The following is a 23,805-nucleotide window of genomic DNA, read 5'->3' on the forward strand; positions in this document are numbered from 1 at the left end:
AGGATATCATCCTAGAATCTAGCAGGAGTTCTCTGTATTTCCTGAACTTGTCTGTTGGCCTCTCTGGCAAGTTTTGGGAAAGGCCCAGAGAGGCCATAGTTGACTTCAGGAAATACAGAGAACCCCTGCAAGTTTCTACACAAAAAGAACATCCTAAAGACACATGATCATCAGATTTTCGAAGATTAAAATGAAAAAAAAAGAATGTTAAAGACAACTAGAGAGAAAGGGCAGGTCACCTAGAAAAGGGAAGCCCATCAAACTAACAGCAGACCTGTCAGCAGAAACCTTACAAGCCAAAAGAGACTGGGGGGCCTATATGCAACAGTCTCAAAAAAAAAAAAAAAATCTTCAACCAAGAATTTTATGTCCAGCTGAACTAAGCTTCCTAAGTGAAGAAGAAATAAGATCTTTTTCAGATATGCAAATGTTTAGGGAGTTCGTTACCACCAGACCTGTCTTACAAGAGATCTTGAAAGGAGCACTAAGTATGGCAAGGAAAGACTGCTACTAGTTAATACAAAAGCACACTTAAATATACAGGCAAGTGACACTATAAAGCAACCACACAAACAAGTCAGGATAATAACCAGCTAACAACATGACAGGATCAAATCCACATATATCAATACAAACCTTGAATGTAAATGGGATAAATTTCTCACTTAAAAGGCACAGAGTGACAAACTAGATTAAAAAGCAAGACTCAATGGTATGCTGCCTTCAAGAGAGATACCTCACACATAACAACACCCATAAGCTCAAAATAAAGGGATGGAAGAAAATCTACAAAGCAAATGGAAACCAGAAAAAAGCAGGAGCTGCAATCCTAATTTTGGAACAACAGACTTTAAACTAACAAAGATCAGAAACTAACGAAGAAGGGCATTAAATAATAATAAGGTGTTCAATTCACCAAGAAGATCTGACTATCCTAAATTTATATGCACCCAACATAGGAGCACCCAGATTCATAAAGCAAATTCTTAGAGACCTGCAAAGAGACATAAGACTCCAACATAGTAATAGTGGGACAGTTCAACATTCCACTGACAGTATTAGACAGATCATCAAGGCAGAAAATTAACAAAGATATTTAGGACCTGAACTCAACATTGGAGCAAATGGATCTGATAGACCTCTACAGAACTGTCCATCCGAAAACAACAGAATATACATTTTTTTCTCATCAACAGATGGCACATTCTAAAACTCAGCCAATAATTAGACATAAAACAATGCTCAGCAAATGCAAAAGAAGCAAAATCATACCAAACACACTCTCAGACGATATTGCAATAAATAAAGAAGTCAAGACTAAGAAAATTGCTTGGCCAGGCGCAGTGGCTCACATCTGTAATCCCAGCACTTTGGGAGGCTGAGGCAGCTGGATTACCTGAGGTCAGGAGTTTAAGACCAGCCTGGCCAGCATGGCAAAACCCTGTCTCTGTTAAAAATACAAAAATTAGCTGGGCATGGTGGCATGCACCTGTAATCCCAGCTACTCAGGAGGCTGAGGCAGGAGAACCACTTGAACCTGGGAGGCGGAGATTTCAGTGAGCCGAGATCGCACCATTACACTCCAGCCTGGGTGACAAGAGTGAAACGTCACAAAAAAAAAAAAAAAAAAAAAAGAAAGAAAGAAAATTGCTCAAAACCACGGAATTACATGGAAATTAAACAACGTGCTCATGAATGACTTTTGGGTAAATAATGCATAAGGCAGAAATCATTAAGTTCTTTGAAACTAATAACAACAAAGACATAACATACCAGAATTTCTGGGACACAGCTAAGGCAGTGTTAAGAGGGAAAGTCATAGCACTAATTTCTCACATCAAAAAGTTGGAAAGATTTCAAATTAATGACTAACATCACAACTGAAAGAATTAGGGAAGCAAGAATAAATCAACCCCAAAGCTAGCAGAAGACAAAAAACAATCAAAATCAGAGCTAAATGGAAGGAAACTGAAACACAGAAAAACACTCAAAAGATAAACAAATCCAGGAGTTGGTTTTTTGAAAAAATTAATAAGATCGAAAGACTGCTAACTAGGGTAATAAAGAAGAAAAGAGAGAATATCCAAATAAACATGATTAGAAATGACAAAGAGGATGTTACCACTGACCCCACAGAAATATTAATAAAAACAACCATCAGAAACTACTATGAACACCTCTATGCACACAAACTAGAAAACCTAGAAAAGATGGATAAATTTCTGGAAACATGCACCCTCCTAGAACTAAACCTGGAATAAACTGATTCCCTGAAAAAGACCAAAAATAAGCTCTAAAATTGAATCAGTAATAAATAGCCTACCAATCGAAAAAAAAAAAAAACAAAAGCCCAGGGCCAAATGAATTCACAGTGAAATTCCACCAGTTGTACAAGAAAGAGCTTGTACCATTCCAAAAAATCAAGAAGGAGGGACTCCTCCCCAACTCATTCTATGAGGCCAGCATCATCCTGATACCAAAATATGACAGACACAACAACAACATCAAAAAACTTCAAGCCAATATCCTTGGTGAACATTGATGCAAAAATCCCTAACAAAATACTTGAAAACTGAATCTAGCAGCACATGAAGAGCTAATCCATCATGTTCAAGTAGGCTTTATACCCACGATTTAAGGCTGGTTCAACATACACAAATCAATAAATGTGATTCATCACATAAACAGAACTAAAGACAAAACCCACATGATTATCTCAATAGATGCAGAAAAGGCTTTCAATAAATTTCAACATCGCTTCATGTTAAAAACTCTCAATAAACTAGGTATTGAGGGAACATACCTCAAAATAGTAAGAACCATCTATAACAAACCCACAGTCAACATTATACTGAATGGGCAAAAGCTGGAAGCATTCCCTTTGAAAACCAGCACAAAACAAGGATGCCCTCTCTCACCACTTTTATTTAACATAGTATTGGAAGTCCTAGCCACAGCAATCAGGCAAGAGAAAGAAATACAGGGAATCCAAATAGGAAGAGAGGAAGTCAAATTATCTCTGTTTGCAGATGACATGATTCTATGTCTAGAAAACCCTATAGTTCTGTCTCAAAATCTCCTTCAGCTGATAACTTCAGCAAAGTTTCAGGATGCAAAGTAAACATACAAAAATCACTAGCATTCCTATACACCACCAGGAGCCAAGCCAAGAGCCAAATCAGGAACACAATCCCATTCACAATTGCCACAGAAAGAACAAAGTACCTAGGAATACGGCTAACCAGGGAGGTGAAAGATTCCTATGGTGAGAATTACAAGACACTGCTCAACGAAATCAGAGAATACACAAACAAATGGAAAAATATCCTTCACATGCTTATGGATAGGAAGAATCCATATATCATTAAAATGACCATACTGCCCAAAGCAATTTATAGATTCATTGCTATTCCTATCAAACTACCAGTGACAGTCTTCACAGAACTAGAAAACACTATTTTAAAATTCATATGGAACCACAAAAGAACCCAAATAGCCAAGGCAGTCCTAAGGAAAAGGAAGAAAGCTGGAAGAATCACATTACCCACCTTCAAACTATACTACAGGGCTACAGTAACCAAAACAGCATAGTATTGGTACAAAAACAGGCACATAGTGCAATGGAACAGAATAGAAAGTCCCCAAACAAGACCACTCACCTATGACCGTCTGATCTTTGACAAAACTGATAAAAACAAGCAATGGGGAAAAGACTCCCTATACAATAAGTGGTGCTGGGATTATTGGCTAGCGATATGCAGAAGATTGAAGCTGGATCTCTTCCTTAAGCCATATACAAAAATCAACTCAAGATTAATTAAAAACTTAAATGTAAAACTAAAAACTGTAAAAACCCTGGAAGATAATCGAGGCAATACCATCCTGGAAACAGGAACAGGCAAAGATATCATGACAAAGACACCAAAAGCAATCACGACAAGAGCAAAATTTGACAAATGGGATCCAATTAAACTTAAGAGCTTCTGCACAGCAAAATAAACTGTGAACAGAGTAAACAACCTGCAGAATGGGAGAAAATGTTTGCAAACTATACATCTGTAAGAACTTAAGCAAATTTACAGGAGAAAAAGGAGAATAACAACCAATCCCATTTAAAAGTGGGCAAAGGACGTCAACAGAATTTTCCGAAGAAGGCATACATGCAGCCAACAAGCATATGTTATAAAAGCTCAATATCACTGGTCATTACAGAAATGCAAATCAAAACTACAATGAGACACCATCTCACACAGTCAGAATGGCTATAATTAAGAAGTCAGAAAATAACAGATGCTGGTGTGGTTGTGGAGGAAAGCGAACACTTATACATTGTTGGAGGGAATGTAAGTTAGTTCAAACATTGCGGAAAGCAGTATGGTGACTCCTCAGAGAGCTAAAGCAGAACTACCATTCCACCCAGCAATCCCAGTACTGGGGATATACTCAGAGGAATATAAATCATTCTACCATAAAGATACCTGCACACGTATATTCATTGCAGCTCTATTGACAATAGCAAAGACATGAAATCAACCTAAATGCCCATTAATGACAGACTAAATAAAGAAAATGGGATACATATACACCATGGAATACTATGCAGCCATAAAAAAGAACAAGATAATGTCTTCTGTGGGAATATGGATGGAGGTGGAGGCCATTATCCTTAGCAAACTAACACAGGAAAAGAAAACCAAATACTATATGTTCTCACTTATAAGTAGGAGCTAAATGATGAGAACTCATGAACTATAAGAAGGGAACAATAGACAATGGGGTCTGTTGAGGGTGGAGGTTGGGAAGAGGGAAAAGAGCAGAAAAAGTAACTATTAGGTACTAGACTTAGTATGTGGATGATGAAATAATCTGTACAACTAACCCCCATGACACCAGTACCTATATCACAAACTTTTACATGTATCCACTAAACTAAAAGTTAAAAAAAAGGATTCTAAATTAGAATAAGTATTTTACTTACATAGTAGATACTCTTCCTTCTGCTACATTAAAAATATTTACACTTTGAAACAGCAGGAGGAGTATGAAAACATTTCTATAAAACATCTAAAAATTATCAGTTTATCTTTTGTCTTTTCTTTTCTTTTCTTTTTTTCTGTTTTTTTGAGACACAGTCTCTGTCACCCAGGCTGGAGTGCAGCGGCGTGATCTCAGCTCACTACAACCTTCCCTCCAAGGTTCAAGCTGTTTTCCTGCCTCAGTCTCCCGAGTAGCTGGGACTACAGGCATGTGCCACCATGCCCTGATAATTTTTTTTGTATTTTTAGCAAAGACGGGTTTTCACCATGTTGGTCAGGCTGGTCTTGAACTCCAGACCTCCCAAAGTGCTGGGATTACAGGCGTGAGCCACCGTGCTCAGCCCAGTTTATCTTTCTAGCCATGTATTTCTCTAAACTCACAGAGATATCTGGAATTCAACTAACTAAATGTGTAAGTAGTGTGCTTGTATTTTTCTGTATTGCCTATTTTCATATTGGGCAAATGTTCTTTTTACACAGTAAATAAAAGGCAAAATGCTCTCCTAAAAATAATCTAATTTCTTAAGCATATTAATCACATAAAGCCTATGTCTGAAAAGCCTAATATTTACATCTCCTATTGGTCTATTTCTATTTTCTGTTTTACTATCTTGGCTTTTTCGGTCATTGAATCCTGTCAGCTAGTATATTGGGTAATTTTATTTAATTAATTTATTTATTTTACAAAATTTCCATTTTTATTTTAGATTCAGGGAGTGCATGTGCTGGTTTGTTGCAAGGGTATGCTGCATGATGCTGAGGTTTGGGCTTCTATTGATCCCATCACCCAGAGAGTGAACATACTGTATTGGGTAAGTTTAGATGAGGCTGCTTTCCAGCTAAGAGCTCAAGCCAGGTCACTAAGAACCTTGCAAATCACTTAAAATAATTTGGACCTAATTGTCACAGCAATGAAAAGACATTGAAGCACTTTAAGTGGGGAGATATTTTCATATTTACACTTTAGAACAGTGACTCTAGCTTCAGTGTGAGGGAATAAATTAGAAAGTAACAAGATGGGAGACATAGAGACTGATGGGTGAGGTTTGCAGGAATTCAGTAAGAGAGGATGATAAGGAAGGTCAGGATTTATGCTAATGGAGAGAGATATTTATGAGACAGAATCCATAGGATGACTCCTATGTTCCTGTTTTTGAAAACGGAGTGGAGAGAAAATGGTGCTATTTACTAAACTAGATAAAATTGGGGTGGTTCAAATTCAGAAGAAAGAAAAAGACTTCATTATGGACTTGTGGAATTTGACAGGTTTGTGAGATGTGCTAGTGCAGGTGGTTTAGACACTCACTGGATAGATCTAAAGATGTGGGAGTCGCCAGCACATAGCTGAGTGCAGTGTGATGCATGGACGTAGATGGAAGTGCACAGGGAGAATATGTAGGGTGGGGACAAGCATCTTGGGCAGAAGCCATTGAAATACAAACAGCCAAGAGGCCGGTAGACTTCTCTTTAGAAGCCTGAAATGGAGACTGAGATAGATTAACCATAGAAGCCTGAAATCTAGGAAAGAATGACGCCACAAAGCCCAAGGTAGAGATTGTTGTGAAGGGAACATGGTCACCAGTATTAAAATGCCACAAAAAAAGCACTGAAAAAAAGTAATTGTTGACCTTGCTGAGGAGCATTTCAATGGAGTAGCTGTGGGAGAAAGCTCATTACAGTAAGTTGAGGAGAGGATGGGGGTGAGGGGATAGACAGTGAACATAGGTAGTTCAGGAAAAAAAAAAGTGGCTCTCATGAAAAGGAGAAAGATTGACAGAAGGTATGTGACATTAGAAAAGGTTTATGTTTTTAAGATAAAGAAGATTTGACTGTGATGAAATGCCAATAAGAAAAATAGGCTGAGGGCGGTGCCTCATGTCTGTAATCCCAGCATTTTGGGAAGCAGAGGCGGGTGGATGACCCAAGGTCAGGATTTCGAGACCAGCCTGACCAACATGGCAAAACCCCGTCTCTACTAAAAATACAAAAATTAGCCAGGTGTGGTGGCAGGCGCCTGTAGTCCCAGCTACTCTGGAGGGTGAGACAGGAAAACTGCTCGAGCCCACGAGGCAGAGGTTTCAATGAGCTGTGATCACGCCATGGCACTCCAGCCTGGGCGACAGAGAGAGATTCCGTCTCAAAAAAGAAAAAAAAAGAAAAATAACCAGAGTGGGAGAGGTTGATAATACAAGAGAGAATAGATCTAATAAATAGAGATTTATCCAAGAAAACTGGAGGAAATGAGATCCAGAGCTCGGGGGCAACATCCACACTGGGCTCTTCGAGGTAAAGGAGATTTAAAAAAATATTATTCTACAAAAAGGAAAAAAGAGATAATGCATTGGGGGTACAGACCAGAGGCTAGTTTTAGGCAAGACAGTGAGAGGGTGGCTTCTATTTTCCATGTGAATTAGAGAGGCTTGCACATCTGCTACAGGGCTCAAGAAACAATGGACTTTTAAGAAATATGGTAGAACTGCCATAAAGCATGAAAGATACAGCTGACATCAAATACCATAAAGTTCTAAAGTTGTCCCATTCTGCAGGGTGATATTTACTTTTCTTAGCAGTTCCCAGAAAATTGGAGCAAGTGTGGAGGACGGGGGCAGTTAGATTCATCATGAAAAAAGATTTTGTTTTTTGGATCCCTTTGCAAACAACAGAACAAGGACATGGAGAACGCTGGCAAGCATGATGGACAAGAAAGAAAGAAGTGAAGATGAAAGGGAATGAATAGGTAGGAGGAATGAAGAAAATCTGAGATAAAGATTCCAGTTCACTGCCCTGGACCCGTAGTTGAGAACAACAAATTTTCTAGTTTGGGTGATTGGTACTATAATTATTTTTAAATTATATGTAAGTGACCAGTTTCCTTGGGATGGTCTTTGTTTATGCCTTTTTTGTTATCATGATTAGTAAGCCATCCCCTTTGACTCTTAAAAGTGTTCTGGTTTGACTAACACATTTTATTGTCTTGATATATATAAAGAGAGATGACACGAACTAGGCTTGGTCAAAGGAAAATAATGAGCTCAATTCTGGAAATGTTAAGTTCATGAAGCTATGGGAAATTCAGATTGAAAGGTCAAGTAAACTGAACACACATACAGACACAACTAAATTTATCCATAAAACAAATTCAGACAGTACTGAATAAATTATAATTTAGTGATTGACTCAAGAATGATATACTAATTTGCAGACAGACTCAGAAAATATTTGCATTACATACTTGAAGTTACTTTCTCTGTATTAAATTATACAGCAATTTAGGTAAAGTGAAAATATTAATCATGTAAGGATGAGGAATCATGTTAACATTGACCAAATGGTCAAGCTGGACTTTTACATTGGGTAATACCTCAAAGTGTCACAAGGTGGCAGCACAAGCACAATATAACATGTAATTAACAAGGGTCAAGATCCTTTCAGGTATTCTGCAGTTAGAATTTATACCTGTTGTATATTATATATATTTTTTTCTGAATGTATGGTCCTTAATTTAAAAATGATTATTTTGTTTTATCGTTATTGCTGACTTGAAAATGGAGCACATAAAAAGTTTAATTTTCTAATATGTACATTATTTTAAAATATTTTAGCTAGAATAAAAAACATGATCATGAATATACATTGATGGCATTCTCAGGATAATTATTAGCACATAGTGTATATAATGTCATAGTTATAAATGCTCTGTAAGTTTGCATCTTGATCAGTATATTTTAGATCAAAAATTTTATTTAGATCATCTTTTTAATATATTTATCTCGCTAGTAAAATCTGTGACTTTTTTCATTGGCCTGTAGAAGGAGAGTGTTCAGAAATTTCATGAAAAAATTTTGTTGGCATATTCTAGTTACAGTAACTTTAAGTAGGGGATAGGGTTGTCAGGTTTAGTTAAAAAAATACAGAATATCCAGTTAAAATTGAACTTTAGAAAAACAAGAATTTTTTTTGGTATAAATATGTCCCATGAAATATTGGGGTAATACTTAAAGTTATTGAATGATTGAATTTTTTTTTTGTATTTTATCAAGCAGTCCTATAAGGGGAGGGAGGAGAACCTGGACAAAAAAAAAAAAAGGAAGTTGCTGAGAAGTCCAGAGAAATCCAGGATTATGGACTACAAATCTGACCTAAGATTTAGAAGCCTTCAGAATCAAGGAATTAGAAAACGAATTATAAATAGACTTGAATTAGTCTGCATTCTGTGGCAAACTCATTTATATGGTAAGCTAAACAACATGGGCTATGGTTAATCAAGTACTCTGGTGAATTACCATCTACACCACACATTGATTACTGATTTTTAAACAACAAAATGCAGCAACATATATTTAAAGTTAGTTCGGTATTGGACAAAATGTAATAAACAACTATAATCTAGACATTTTGGGGTCTTACTCAGGGTTATCATTATGAAAATCTGTCATTAGAGCTTCAAGGCACGGAAATACCATTTTAATTTCCTTTAATTCAACAAACATGTCTGGCACCTTCTATATGCAGAGGACTGACTAGGACTGTGAGATGTAAGGATTAATAAACATTGCTGTTATCCAACTGAGTGGATATTTATAGTTAATAAAATAAAAAGTTAAATTCATGCATTAATCATGTCAAAACTCATTCTTACTAATTCTTCCCTGGGTTTCAGTTCTTGGTTAACTGCTTCTCCCTTAGTATATCCCTGGGATGATCGATCCCTTCTCTCTTCCAGATGATTTTCAACTACCATTTTAATGCCAGAGTCTTCCAAATCTCCATTTCCAGCCATGACTTCTCCCATGTACTTAAGAAATGTGCATTCAACTCCTATGAGTTTTTGGCTGTCCTGTTGGCACTTCTTCCTAAATTAGACTAATCATTTTCTCCCAGAAACTTCTATTCTTCCTATATTCCTAATCTTAGTCAATTGCATCCCTCCTCAGGTAATCATCCATCCTTAAAACAGTCACACTATCTCAGACTTCTCGTCCACATCCAGTCAATGCATCCCATTCAGTCATGCCTACGCTGTTTTGATGACCTCTGAATGGGTTTTCCACCTCCAGTCTTGCTTTCCTTAGAGATTTACTGAGATTAACAATTAATTTTATTTACATGATTAATTTTATACTGTAGTGATTATCATTTACATCTTAAAAGAGTTTATAAATTTAACAACATTGCTGGGTAAGAAGAGACATAAGGAAACAAAAACAGAGCTGGGGAACGGTTTGGGTTTGGAGGTATTCAGACATCTGAAATATAGGCACTTGGGATAGAAAGTCAGGACACCCCCGAAGCCCCATGTTCTGCACTGTGCTGGACACCAACAGCGGCAACAGGATGTCAGGCATTCGTATCTCCAAGCCAGCTGAATAATGCAGGCTAATGACCCCTCTCCTCTAGGCTACTGGAAAGACACGAAAGGAAATCACCTCTCTAAATCAGGGTCATCAGTCCTAGAAATTTAATAGGCTGTGAGCACATCTTTATGTTGTAAGACCAGAACAATAGCTTACAAGAGCACCAAACGATGGTAGCATAATCTAATGGGGTATAATAAAAAAAACTACATAAATTAATGAAATACTTAATAAAATATGGCTATGATTATGCTAATTAAACATAAACTGAGAAGATATTTAAACAAATGACTCTGATTCATGTCACTTTTATAAAGCCAAAGCAGATTTTCACTGTTTTCTTTTTTTTCATAGTTTTCCAGAAGCTATGATCAGCATCAACACTGAAATGTCTCTGAAACCAATTTTACTGTACTTACATACCTGAGAAAATATTTTTAAAAGATGTTGGCTTTGACCCGTATTTTCAACATGATGGCTGATTCCTGTGCTTCTCCTATGCATATTCCTTTTTCATCTCCACGACTTTGAGGAATTCTTGGACCAAGTATGTGGATTCTCACTGCTCCCTCCCACTAAACCTGGATATTTGGGGTGGCATAAGGGCTCGAAACTGTAGAACTTAAGAAGCTATGGATGCGCTACCTGTCCAGGGGCCACAGTTGAAGCACTGTCATGAAGGGCTGAGGGGATCAAGAGCAGAGATTAAGGCAAAGTGAACAGGAATGTTAAAACAGGATGGATGTTGGATGCCCCTTGGGGCAAAGGGAAGAGAGATCTGTCTGGCTAAAGCGCTAGGGGAGGTGGAAGAACAGGTTGATCAGGCTCAGCTGAAAGGAGCCAGTAGTTAACATGGTCCTTCACATTTCTGGAAGGAAACAGGCCTTGAGGGAATCCATCTGTTCTCACACAGGGAGTGGAGATAACTGAGAGACTGAAGACCTTGGGGGATTCAATGAGGCTTAATTACACCCTTTGGTGTAAGGATGGGAAGGCTCCCAGATGTTTAAAATTCTTTTTACAGAAAACAAAACATTTACTTTAAAGAAATAAAGGACTTAAATTGTAAATGCATGAGTGAAACTCATTCACACTTAAGTGTAATGCATGAGTGAACCTCATTCACAATTAAATGTAGTCAAGAAATCAATAAACCAGAGAACTATCAGATCCTCTGGGATGCAGGGGTAGAGAGCAGGAGTCTCGGTTTATGAGATAGAGGGGTTAGAAGGCTTGGGTAAATGCAAAGAAAGGGAGCCAGGAAATTAGGAAGGCAAATTTCACCTACTTGGCAAATTTTACTAGTGATTCATGATGCGTATCCATCTGTCTCCTCCACTGGTTTGTGAACTCCTTGAGCCAATTACTATGCAACACCTAGCGTGGTGCCTGCCTGGTGCAAATGGTAAGCACTAAATCATTCTTGCTTAATCTGAACTTTAGTTTCATACTGGTGGACAACAATTCTGTGCAAATGCATTTTTGTGTTTCCTGTCCATCCAAGCAGACATATTATTGGAACCCTAGTCCTCTTGGGGTTTTGGAGTGTCAGAACTGCCTTTCCAGGCCCATCTGTGTCCACACAGCCAAGAAACAAAGCTGTTATCCACTCAGCTCAGCATTTGCACACAAGGGAAAATAATTTTTAAAAATGCATGCTCAAAATTTTCTTAATACCAAAACTATGAGGCCAGAACTTTTTGGTTATTTTTGTTACTCAAAGTACATTTCAGGACCTTGTAACATTTCGGGTTTATGACATCAGTTTTGACTTTCTGATTATTTTAGAATGGATTTTCATAGTGTAAAATGAGGGGGATCACATGGGACTAGCACAGTGCCTGGTAAATAGCCAGTGCTCAATACATTTTTGTTGAATAAACAAATGAATAAATGAATGATCAAATGAGGTGATCCTCCAAATTCAAAATAACAGAGCGAAAATGAGAAAAAAAATTCACAGAGTATGAATGAAGACAAAACCAAGGAATATCCATAAGACTTTGTGAAAGGCTTAGGGAAATCTAGACTTACCATAAACATAATTTGAATATTATTTAATTTAATTGGATATTATAGTAATTGGAATTTAGTAACCAGTAGAGTAAATTGTGTTCTTTTTGGATGTTAGATTGGGCAGAAGGGAAAATTTCTGTTGTCTTAAACAGATTGAGAACCAGCCCTTTAACTTTAGTAAGTTTTCCAAGTTATTTTTACTCTGAATTTTTCTTTTTGTTTTGTAAATAGTCTCCTGGTCTTGTAGCAATACCCTGATCTCAGGTGTCACCCCTGTTAAGCCGTAAAACAATCAGTGGAGTCTCAAAATAGTCAGCAACATTTGATACTTAAATTCTGGCTATCTCTGAGACACATAGCTAAAAACTCTTAATAACAGCTATCTCCTTCCATGTCTCTATCAGTGGGAGAAGTTATTATGTGGAGCAAAGGCAATATAACTATAAGCATCAGACCATTTCAGAGAGCTTGGCTGGTTTTCTCTTGTAAAGTTTGTTCTTGTCTAGTATCCTTAAGTCATCCGAAATCATTAAAACTTCTTGTAACATGGCAGAAAACTTTAAAAGAAGGCTGGGCATGGTAGCTCATGCCTGTAATCCCAGTACTTTGGGAGGCCGAGGCGGGTGGATCACCTGAGGTCAGGAGTTCGAGACCAACCTGGCCAACATGGTGAAACCCTGTCTCTACTAAAAATACAAAAATTAGCCGGGCATGGTGACACATGCTTGTAGTCCCAGCTACTCGAGAGGCTGAGGCAGGGGAATCGCTTGAACCTGGGGAGTGGTGGTTGCAGTGAGCCAAGATCACGCCATTGTACTCCAGCCTGGGTGACAGAGCAAGACTCCATCTCAAGGAAAAAAAAACAAAAACTAGAAAAGTTATGATTAAACTTCTACTTTAAGGACCTCTGACTTTTAGGCAGTCTCTCACTAGCTCTCTCACTAGAATGAGTATGCAATTCATTCTAAATCACAAGGATGATCCAATGAAATTATTAACAGAATGTGTTTTTTTCCTGGTAGATAATGATCTACTGGAAATAAAGATTAAGATAATCTGCTTTATTTTATATAATTGATGATGCTAATTCCAAACAGTACCTCCAATCAGCACAGGTTATAATTTTGTGATATTAATGAAAAACAACTTAATGAGCGGGTCTCCTTCTTTCACTGTGTAGGTTTCCCTGCCATACAAAAACCAAACTCTTCCAAAGAGGAAACTTCCATTCCACAACAGCACGCCTAACTCTATTTTTGGATTACACCTACAAAGCTCCCCAAGTAACAAATTCATCATTTTTTTCTACTGAGGCATTTTACCTTCCTATATGAATTTCACAACTTGTATTGATTAATGCTGATTGTCCTGATCACTGTTGCAATTGTCACATAACTTGCAAAGAGCCAGTTGGAGTGATAATTCGTATATCTTTTAAAGAAAAGGTTTTTAAAGCTCTCAGTGCAATACTCAAATGGACTAATCTTCTATGGTATCTTAATGCTTCCTTCAAGTGGTGGTTTTCCATGTAATTGTTTTTGTCTAGAATTTTTTTTCTATTAGATCAACTTCATGGAAGCCAGGTTCCTGCTTCAAAACTCCAAGTGAACAACAAGTATAGATGAAGTTGTTTTACATGCTAATTATTAGTGTTTGAGAGCAATATTTTATAAAATAGACCTCATTACTCAAAAACAACTTGTACTACTATCCTTTCCAATTTAATAAAAAAATCAAAGAATATGAAACAAAATGTGCAGCTGTGTGGTAACCTTTTAAGCTAGTAGTTATTTTCCCAACTAAATTCAGTAACATTAAACCTTAGAGAAATTTATTTCTATTTCAGGAACAGTGATTTAAGATGGTCAAACTCTTTCCACCAGTCCTTGAACAATTCCATGACCTGTCTGTCTAAAACAAATCCTATATTAGAAGTGAGTTGCAGTTATTAAGCTATATCCTTGTGGAGGCGGAAAGTTAATGGTAAAGTATCCAACAAAGAGTAAAGTGATCTTAAATACAACCAGTAGGGATTTCATAAACTGTTTAGTTGTACCTTAATTTTTAACTTATATAAACATCACTTGCTTTAGTTTCTACCCTGAGCACCTATCCCAATGTCTGGCGTGTAGTTAATGTTCAACAAACGTCAACCGAGGGAGTCAGAGTATTTTAAGAAGCCGGTGAGAAAGCCTTCTTTGACTTATCCACTAGGTGGCACACAGGGACCATGCTTCACACAGTTAACCACCACAGACCCTCCCATTCAGTGTAAATAAAGAGATGCATTATTAATTTATACCACCTCGTCCTCTCTACTCCTAATAATTGTTTAACCAGCTGTTTCCTCTAATCCTCCTTAAACACTATTGATTAAAATCCTAAGTATATTCAGGTTTCCATCCTTTCCTACTTCTTCCAACAGCATTTTGCTACCTTTAAATGACAGGCTAAGTACACTTAAATGACATAGACTAAGTACTATGGTTACTACTCATGGCTGCAGGATGTCAGAAAATTAATTTGAAGCACTATCAAAATTATTTTCAAATTTGCCTGGTATTTCGTCAGAATTTTAACTGGTGAGAGATCATGATCTTAAAAATGCAATCTGAAAAATAAAATGTGCATGGGGCAAAAAGAAATGAAAAAGAAAACTAGTATTTTCTAAGGAAGGGAGTCATTTTCTGAATATAACTTTTGTTCATCTTTACAAAGATGAAGTGCATTGCTATCTTAAGATTCAAAGGACTTCTTCAACTGTTCAGAAAATACCAATATTCCACACCTAAGATGCTAAAAGGCAGGATTGTTTAGTAGACCGTTTACTCATAAAGTATCTTTCTGTGTACTCTGAATGTATTTATCCTGGATGTGTTACTTGCTCCCAAAGGAAGGAAAAGGAAGTGAAACCACTAGGGATATAATGAATTGATTCTTCTCTGTGAAAGTCTCTTCAGTACTTCTAAATTACAGTGTCAGTCATTCCTCTGAGAGACAGGGCCTTGCTGAAAATAAATGGCTCATTTTATAAATAAGTACATAATGTTTCCCCACCTTCTTGTTTCTCATAGAAAGCCCAGGCCCATAAGGCATTCCTGTCGAGAATACTGGCCTCTGGGTACATTCCTCCTGTAGAGCAGTGGTCTGTTGAGGTTGTTGGTTATCTCTTGTTCATTTAATTAGCCTTAAGTAAAATTACTTCTTATCTAGTTCTGTTTTTAAGCTGTTTCCAATTTAGTGGAAGAGGTCATCAACAAAAGTATAAATTCATTTCTTAGCTGAAACAATTAAATTTTTTAAAATGGGTGGTATAAAAGTGACTAAAGACTAAAGCTAATATCTGAAGAGTCCTTTGGTATACATTATATTTTACTGAATGGAAGAGAAACTTTCATTTTTGTAGGTAAATGGAATTTGTTAACTGATATAAGAATTATGAATCATATCACATTAAAAATTCTCCAAAGATAACTACTATGATATACTTTTGATAGAACAATATTCCCATTCCATTAAAATACTGAAATGACTGAAATGTGTATAAAATCTCTGCAAATTTAGTACACAGAAATAATCACATAGAAATAGTTACCAGAAACTACAATTGTAATGAATAAATATTACATTCATTTAGAAATCAATCCACAGCCTTAATTTCTTAAGAACTATTAGCTTCCAAGAAGCCAGCCAGTATGTTTGATTTTATGACATCACACTGGAACATGTACAGGAACACTTTCCACCCTAAAAATTCCCAAATGTACTGGCCACTGTGTGTATTTTTCCAGTGATAAATGAAAATAAAGCAACTTATTCTCAAATTAATAAGCCATCTTATTTTGAACACAACAGTCACATTCAATGGAAGAAAACTACTTAATCGAAGCCCAAACAAGTTTAGGTTTGTTTTTGGTGGGGAACAGTCTCAACATACAAATAATTTCTTTAAGCAACTTTTAACAGTAATCTTAACTATGACTATAAATTCTCTTCAGTGCATTCAAATTATCCATCAACATCATTGTATATATGAAATGCATCATCATTCTATGATCTTAAGTTCATAATTAGCTGGAGAAGGAAGCCTGGGCCAAAAATGGCAACATTTCTAAGATTATTAATCTAACAGGTATTACCTATGCCTAAAGTAACTTTCTTTTTCACATAACCCTATATATTCTCTGAAACAAAATTCATAAGCCTGGCTGGACATTCCCATTCCTCACCTTTCCCTTCAGCCTATACTATCCTTGTTTCATCTCAGGTGCTATAAAAATGGTTGTTGAGATACAGATAGAAAAGTCACCACTTGGAAACCATGACCCTACCAGATTTACAGGAGCACTAGCAGAAGCTAAGATACTAGAGTTAATTCTTTCTCCATTTTTAGACTGAGCCTGTTTATTGTAGTGAAATATTTTATCCGACAATATGAAACTTTTTTAAAAGTTGAGGTGTCATATTAAATTCAAATGAAAACTAAACTCAAAAGAAAAGAATAAAATTTGTTTAATGTATATATACATTGCATGTGTATTGCCCTCTGAAATCTTAAAGGCACAAAGGTATAACCAAAAGAGGGGGAAACAATTTGCAAGTTTTACCTTGTCCTGAAATCCAGGAGTTCGGATGCTCTCAAGTTCTGCTTAAGTTGGAAGCTGGAGATCAAGTGAAGCTAGCGCTCTTTCTCCTCACCTTAAGTTTGTCTCTGGGCGAGTGTGAGAGTGTGTGTGTGTGTGCGTGTGTGAGTGTGTGTGCAGAATGTCTCTTTGTGGCGCTGGATGGCAGAGGTCCTGATCCTGGGAAGAAGGAGGCACTTTCTCACCAAGAGCAGAAGAAAAGCAAAGCGTCACCAGGAAAGTTCTCCTCCCAAATCCCCTAATTACAGCCTAATGTGCACTTCATGCAAACTTCAGGGAGGAAGGGAGGGGCAGCTCTGTGCCCAGACCTTGTAAAGCAGCAGCCTCTTAGATGACTTTCCCCTCTGCTCAGATCCCGAGTATCCCGCTCTGGGGTTTAGGAAAGCCGGCCGCTACAGCCACACAAGCCCCCACCACACCACACCTCCCGAACCCGAACCCTCATCAGTCCTGGGTCTGTCCAGAAGGGATGGGACAAGGGGTCTGTGGAATGATCTGCGGGGCAGCGGTGTGAGCAGACTCCTCAGGACAGTCAGTTTGCGCTTTGTTTTATTAGCCTCTGCTTAAAAGAAAAATCCAAGGGTCGGAGAGGTCCTCTCTTTCCCGCCTTCCCCTCACCAAAGGAGATCAAGGATAACAGACAATGATGATAGTGGCACATAAAGCTTCTTAAACTGGAGATGGCCTTCCACCCAAATCACCAGAAGCATATTTTCTGGTTTACTGGACTCAGTATTGGTGTTGAGTTTAAATTTCTCTTAACAAACAACTGCTATTGTATCCTTGGATGACAGAGCTCAAAGAACCTGGATTTATTTATAGAACGAGGAATGCGAGGGGGAGACGGGATGGGTGGGGTTGGGTTGTGGATCCATAACCAGGATTAGAACCAGATGGGCACAGGGCGCGCGCGCGCACACACACACACACACACACACACACACACACACACAGACACACACACCCCTGAAATAACCAGTGGGGAAGATGCTGGGACACGCGGGAAAACGCCTCCTGAACAAATAGACGTTTATTTATAACTTCTGGGAGAGTATATAGGTCCATTGATTCCCGCCTTGAGTAACCAAGGGTTTTGGAGAGGAAATGGCTTCATATTTCAATAACAGAGCCACCTTTGATGGAGTCTAGGAAGGGGAAAAAAGAAACACACCGCAGGAAGCAAACGGCTGTTGGAGCAGCCGGGAGGAGGGAGCGGGGCTGGCCCTGGGACTGAGGACAAGCAAACAAGCTCGAGGGGCCCGCGGCCAGGGTGGAGGCGAGACGCAGGCCGTCCCCGAGTTGCAGCGAGCAGGGCCCGGTGTCGCGGAGCGCTGGGGACGTGCGGGGATTCGCGGCCGTGCTCCCGGCTCCAACCTCCGGCCCCGGCGGGGCGGCGCGGGCGGGACTGCGGGCTTCTTAAGGCCGCCGCCGCCGCTCGGGCTGTGGCGCGGGTTGGGGAGAGGGTTCCGTGGGCCGTAGGGACTGAGGGAGTCGTAAGTCGATGAGCTAGTGGGGCAGGAGGATGGGCGGGTCCAGGGCGTCCTGGAGGTGCAAGGTGGGATGGGAGGACCTGAGGGGCAGCCAAGCTGCTGGGGAAGCCGCCGGGACGGGGGCTCTGGCCGACAATGCAGGTGGCCGGTGTGCAGATGAGCCAGCGCGCGGGGTGCGGCCGCCGGGATGCCCGATCCGAGTCGCGCGGGTGGCGGCGAGCGGCGCTATTGTCTTAAAGATAAAGCCTAAGCCACGGGGACTGCCTCCTCCTGGACTCTGGAGAGAGGCGGGAGAGATTGCAGGGGAAAAAAGGCTTCTTCCCGCGTCTTCTGAGAGATTTCACCAGTTCTTGCCTCTGGGCTCCCCCTTGCCATTCTGTCTTTGGTAAATCAACACGTGCCTCTTGGAAAGGTTTCATTTCAAAGACAAACGGAACACTCACACACCCTCCCTAAATGAAGACAGTTATATTCAAAATGAATTCTTCATCAGGCGTTCAACACCTTTCTTGGAATTCCAAAACCTGGGTGAGGGCGCTTCTCTTATTTTTCTGTTTCCCCTCCCGCACAGGGAACAGGTTTTGCAGTTTTATGTCCCTAATCTAGTGGCTATTGAGGCAGCTGTTATATAGGCCTCTACATTAACTGCCAATAAAAATAAGATACATCTCGGCTTTTCAACTATGCAAAGGGTTTTTATGCTATTCATATTTCTTGTAAACGTTCAGGGTGGTGTGTATTTTAAAGAACATAAACGAATTAGACTTATAAACAAATATCCAATTTTTATATTAAAGCACCATAAAGGTGGTAAGGCTGGTGGTGTGTGGCTATGATATCATATAAAGACAGTTTAAATACCGATCTTGTTCCCTCAGCTTAACAACCTAATTTCTGGCGATTGCCTGGAGCGTAAATCAAATCAGCTGGCTCATGGCTGGCACTTGTTCCCCTATTTTGTGGTCTGCTCTATACACTTATTCCGGCACAACATTAAGATAATTTAATGTATTCTCTTCTGAAATTGTTTAATAACCACCCAAGACAATCTATTTTGCAACTTAGTCACACCATGGTGAGCTACACTAGATTTTTTTTCAATCTCAGGTATAGCCGCAACTATTGAGATAGACTTCCAGAAATAATGACAGGTACTTACCTCTGAGTCATCCTGTCCCTCCTGATCCTCCCCTATTTCCAGCCTTCCCTTCCCCATTGCCTCCTTACTAGTCTTTGTTAAAGATCCCCAGTCTTTTTAATCACAAATATTTAACCTATCAATAGTGTGTATTTGAAGTGTTATTCAGGCTTAATTTAATTGACGTTATATACATTTTTCCATTCGTTTTGGGGTTCACATGGTTTTCTAGTTATTTAAATTTACATTGGAATTAGCTTTAAGAGTCTTTTAAAAAGATTTTTATGTTCAGTTAATTAATGTTCAGCCAAATTGTGCTTTATGGAGGCATACATTACTTTGATTAGCCCTTATAGTTTTTCATCAGGGCACAGGCATTATAATAAGCCATGGTAAAAAATCAAATCAAGTAAATGCAGGAATAAATACAACTCTATTTTCATGACTAAATATTTTACAAAGATATAAATTGTAAAAATAATTTTTGAAGACCAAAATATCTTCTTAAAGAAAACCATATCAAAAAAGTATTCTGTATTTGAAGATTTCCTGTATTTATTAACATTAGTAAGTCATGTGGAAATTCAAATCTTTCCTTTGTTAAATCAAGGTTAGCCTAAAGCTGTCTTCTTACATATTTTAAGTTTGGCCTAAAGGTTTCTCTGTACATTGTGAACTATAACCTGAATGGAATTGTAAACAGACTGTAGCCTGCTCTTGTGGCAACACTGAGCTTTGGCCAATCACATGTGGCCAACTGTTCAAACCCTGTTCAAATAAGGCAAAGGTGGAGCTATAACCAGTCCGGGGGTTTCTGTACCTCACTTTCCTTTTTCTGCCCATAAACCTTCTACCACGTGGCTGTGTTGGAGTTTCTGAGCCTGCTCTGCCTCTGGAGACTGTTGGAATTGTTCTTTGCTTAATCAAACTCTTTTAAATTTAGTTTTGCTAAAGTTTTTTTTTTCCCTAACACATAGCATATTGAGGTTTGTTTTATTTGCTTTTTTAATTTAGAGAAGGCAAATAAGCCATTTTTTTAAGTTTCAAGAAAAACCAAACTTTTTTTTATTTTTCAATAATATATTTTGAACTATTTCTCATTCTTATTAAATAATCTGATGTTAAACAATATTATTTCAAAATATGCTGATGTATTTATATTATATAAAATTATATATCAAAATATTCTATATATAATATATACAGCATATTTTGAAATGATGTTTAATGTAATACAACAGTATTTTATAAGAATGAAAAACAGGTTAAAAAATGGTGTTATAAAATGTAACTTTGCATTCTTTTGCTAATTGTAACACAATTTGAGTAATTAGGTTGAACCAGATAAAATGGAATATTCAACCTTTTTTGACCTACCAAAAAGCAATTTCAGCTGGTTTCACCTTATACAAATTTGAATATGTGTGTAGCATAAGTGTAGCAGGAACATTTTCAACTTTTAAAAAAATATTGATCTGCAATATCATGAATATTTAATATGTAATAAATTCCCAAGCAGAATAGTATGCCTGCTGGCATATTACACTCGTAACAAAATATACATTTATATTCAAAAGGGGATTATCTAAATTCATCTCCTCTTCAAACTCCAAAAGAGGCTGCTGTTATCCACTAAATTCCAGAGAATTGCTTCCCTCTGAGCACTTGTTTCCTGGAATTTTTGCCTCAGGCTGACATTATATCTGATTGAACATCTGCTAGGATAAAGGTTCAGCTTCGTGCACTTTGGAGGTACTGGGGGGAGGAAAGCCATTTGACCTTTCCTGTCTGAGGGCTCAGAACTTCATTAAAGCACCTCCTGGGATTGTGGGCATAGCCATGAGAAAGACACCATTTGTAATTAAGTCCTTCCCACTGGCTATATTCCTGTTGAACTCGATGATTAAAATACAAATTCAATATTCTAAATGGTCACAAAGCATTTGATAAAAGGTTATTTTGCTTTTAATGCAATGAGGGGGAGGGATGACTTTCCAAGAGCCCACTTTTTGTGCTCACTCTCAGAAAGTGTCCAGCAGACAGACTCTTCAAAAGGGCATGCTAAATAATTAGGCAATAAATTGTTCAAATGTTAAGAGCAGAGCTGTTCCAGAAGCTACTGAGGCCAAATGAGTCCATCATACCAAGTGATAAATATCCTTGGCTCCTAAGAAGTAAGCGCCTGCTTGTCCCTATGTTGGTCTATTGAATTGGTTCTGGGTTCACAGCATCATCCATTATCTTTCTTGTAATTTATTGTTCTCTCAGTGTGTTTCTTTTGTCCAGAACATCCAAACTCTTCCTTCATTTCTTCAATGAATTGATAAGTATTTCATTATTGTCCTGATTTTACTAATTTTGCAATAGGACCCAGATTCAGTCCCATCTCCTTTGTCAGCTTTTTGTTTCTGTTTGTAGCTACAATGAATTTTAAAACAGAACTTTCTAATAGTTTATTTCTTTTAAAATACCTGACATAATGACAAAATATTAACATTTTTCAAATCTGAGGATTGAAAACACTGGTCTCAGGTTTTTTTTCTATTTTCTGTTTAAATTACAACTGAAAAAATATATAAATAAAAAAGATATAGGAAAAAAGAAGACAAAAATAAGTAAGGGTCACCAGAATGTCAGCTCCATAGGGCAGACATCTTTGGTTGGTTTGGTTTTACTGGCCTATCACAAGCACTGAGAACAGTACCTGGCACTCAGTAGGTACTCCCATAGATATGATTTGAAGGTTTATGGCACTCATGTCACTATTTAGAAGTTGAGATGCAAGGTCATACAAGTAGGGAGTGAAAAAGCTGGGATCAAACCTAAAGTCTGGAATATTTTCCTTGTCCCATGTTACCTAGAAAGTCTAGATCCTTCAGTGTTTTTTTTTTTTTTTTGAGACGGAGTCTTGCTGTGTCACCAGGCTGGAGTGTAGTGGTGCAATCTCGGCTCACCACAACCTCCACCTCCCGGGTTCAAGCGATTCTCCTGCCTCAGCCTCCCCAGTAGCTGGAACTACAGGCACGTGCCACCACGCCCAGCTAATGTTTGTATTTTTAGTAGAGACCGGGTTTCACCATATTTGCCAGATGGTCTTAATCTCTTGACCTCGTGATCTGCCCGCCTCAGCCTTCCAAAGTGCTGGGATTACAGGCATGAGCCACCGCGACCAGCGATTCCTTTGGTATTTTTAAAACACAGATCTATCCATGCTTCTCTGCGTTGTTGACAATGAAAACTTATATATACCAAATACTACGTAAATTCTTCCAAATCTCAGAAACGGTAGAGATTTGAAGGTAAAACTTCCTCTGTGTGTATGAACTTCTCAAGGGCCAAACTTTTAATACTTACCTCATTTCTTACTTTTTTTTAGTTCTTCTAAAAATAAAAACAAGACACATGTGCAGAATGTGCAGGTTTGTTACACAGGTATGCATATGCCAAGGTGGTTTGCTGCACCTATTGATCCATCCTCTAAGTTCCCTCCCCTCACCCTCATCTTCCACCCCACAACAGGCCCTGGTGTGTATTGTTCCCCTTTCTGTGTCCATGTGTTTTCAATGTTCAATTCCCTACTTATCTCATTTCTAGTGCCCCGCACAGTTTAGTGCACAAAGTGAATTGTCCTCATTTTTGTGGTCATCTGTAGCAGAGTTTGAGTGATTTGGCAAATGATTAACCCTTCTCCTGTGTGCTTGCAGAATAATCCAATTCTACTTAACTTAGAGTTTTTAAAGTGGTTCTAGGAACGTGAATCATCACTGTAGATGAATATCTTTCTTTCACAACATCAAATATGGTTCCCTTATTGATGACAATCAATCCAAGTAAGTGATCCTTATATGCATTTCTGTCTGTTTGGGAGCAGATTGATAAGAAACCAAAAGCAATGGCAACAAAAGCCAAAATGGACAAATGGGATCTAATTAAACTAAAGAGCTTCTACACAGCAAAAGAAACTAACATCAGAGTAAACAGGCAACCTACAGAATGGGAAAAAATTTTTGCAATCTATCTATCTGACAAAGGGCTAATACCCAGAATCTACAAAGAACTGAAACAAATTTACGAGAAAAAACCCCATGAAAATGTGGGTGACGGATAGAACAGACACTTCTCTAAAGA

The 23,805-nt window shown here is 38.2% G+C and overlaps 1 protein-coding gene across 3 annotated transcripts in view, besides 1 other annotated feature; it reads right to left on the reverse strand.

The window, feature by feature from the left end:
- Positions 1-17,080, reverse strand: part of HAPLN1 (hyaluronan and proteoglycan link protein 1) — an 83,051-nt gene extending 65,971 nt beyond the window's left edge. For all 3 annotated transcript variants that reach the window (XM_017009053.2, NM_001884.4, XM_017009051.2), the window contains exon 1: positions 17,014-17,080. The gene's annotated coding sequence lies outside the window, so the exon portion shown is untranslated. The remainder of the gene's footprint in view (positions 1-17,013) is intronic.
- Positions 18,665-18,724: a silencer, noted in NCBI's record as "silent region_16156". NCBI's record gives its function as "represses an Ori minimal core promoter by ATAC-STARR-seq in GM12878 lymphoblastoid cells {active_cell/tissue: GM12878}" and the evidence as "EXISTENCE:reporter gene assay evidence [ECO:0000049][PMID:35858748]".

Source organism: Homo sapiens, chromosome 5 (genome assembly GCF_000001405.40).
Source record: "Homo sapiens chromosome 5, GRCh38.p14 Primary Assembly".
Taxonomy (NCBI): domain Eukaryota; kingdom Metazoa; phylum Chordata; class Mammalia; order Primates; family Hominidae; genus Homo; species Homo sapiens.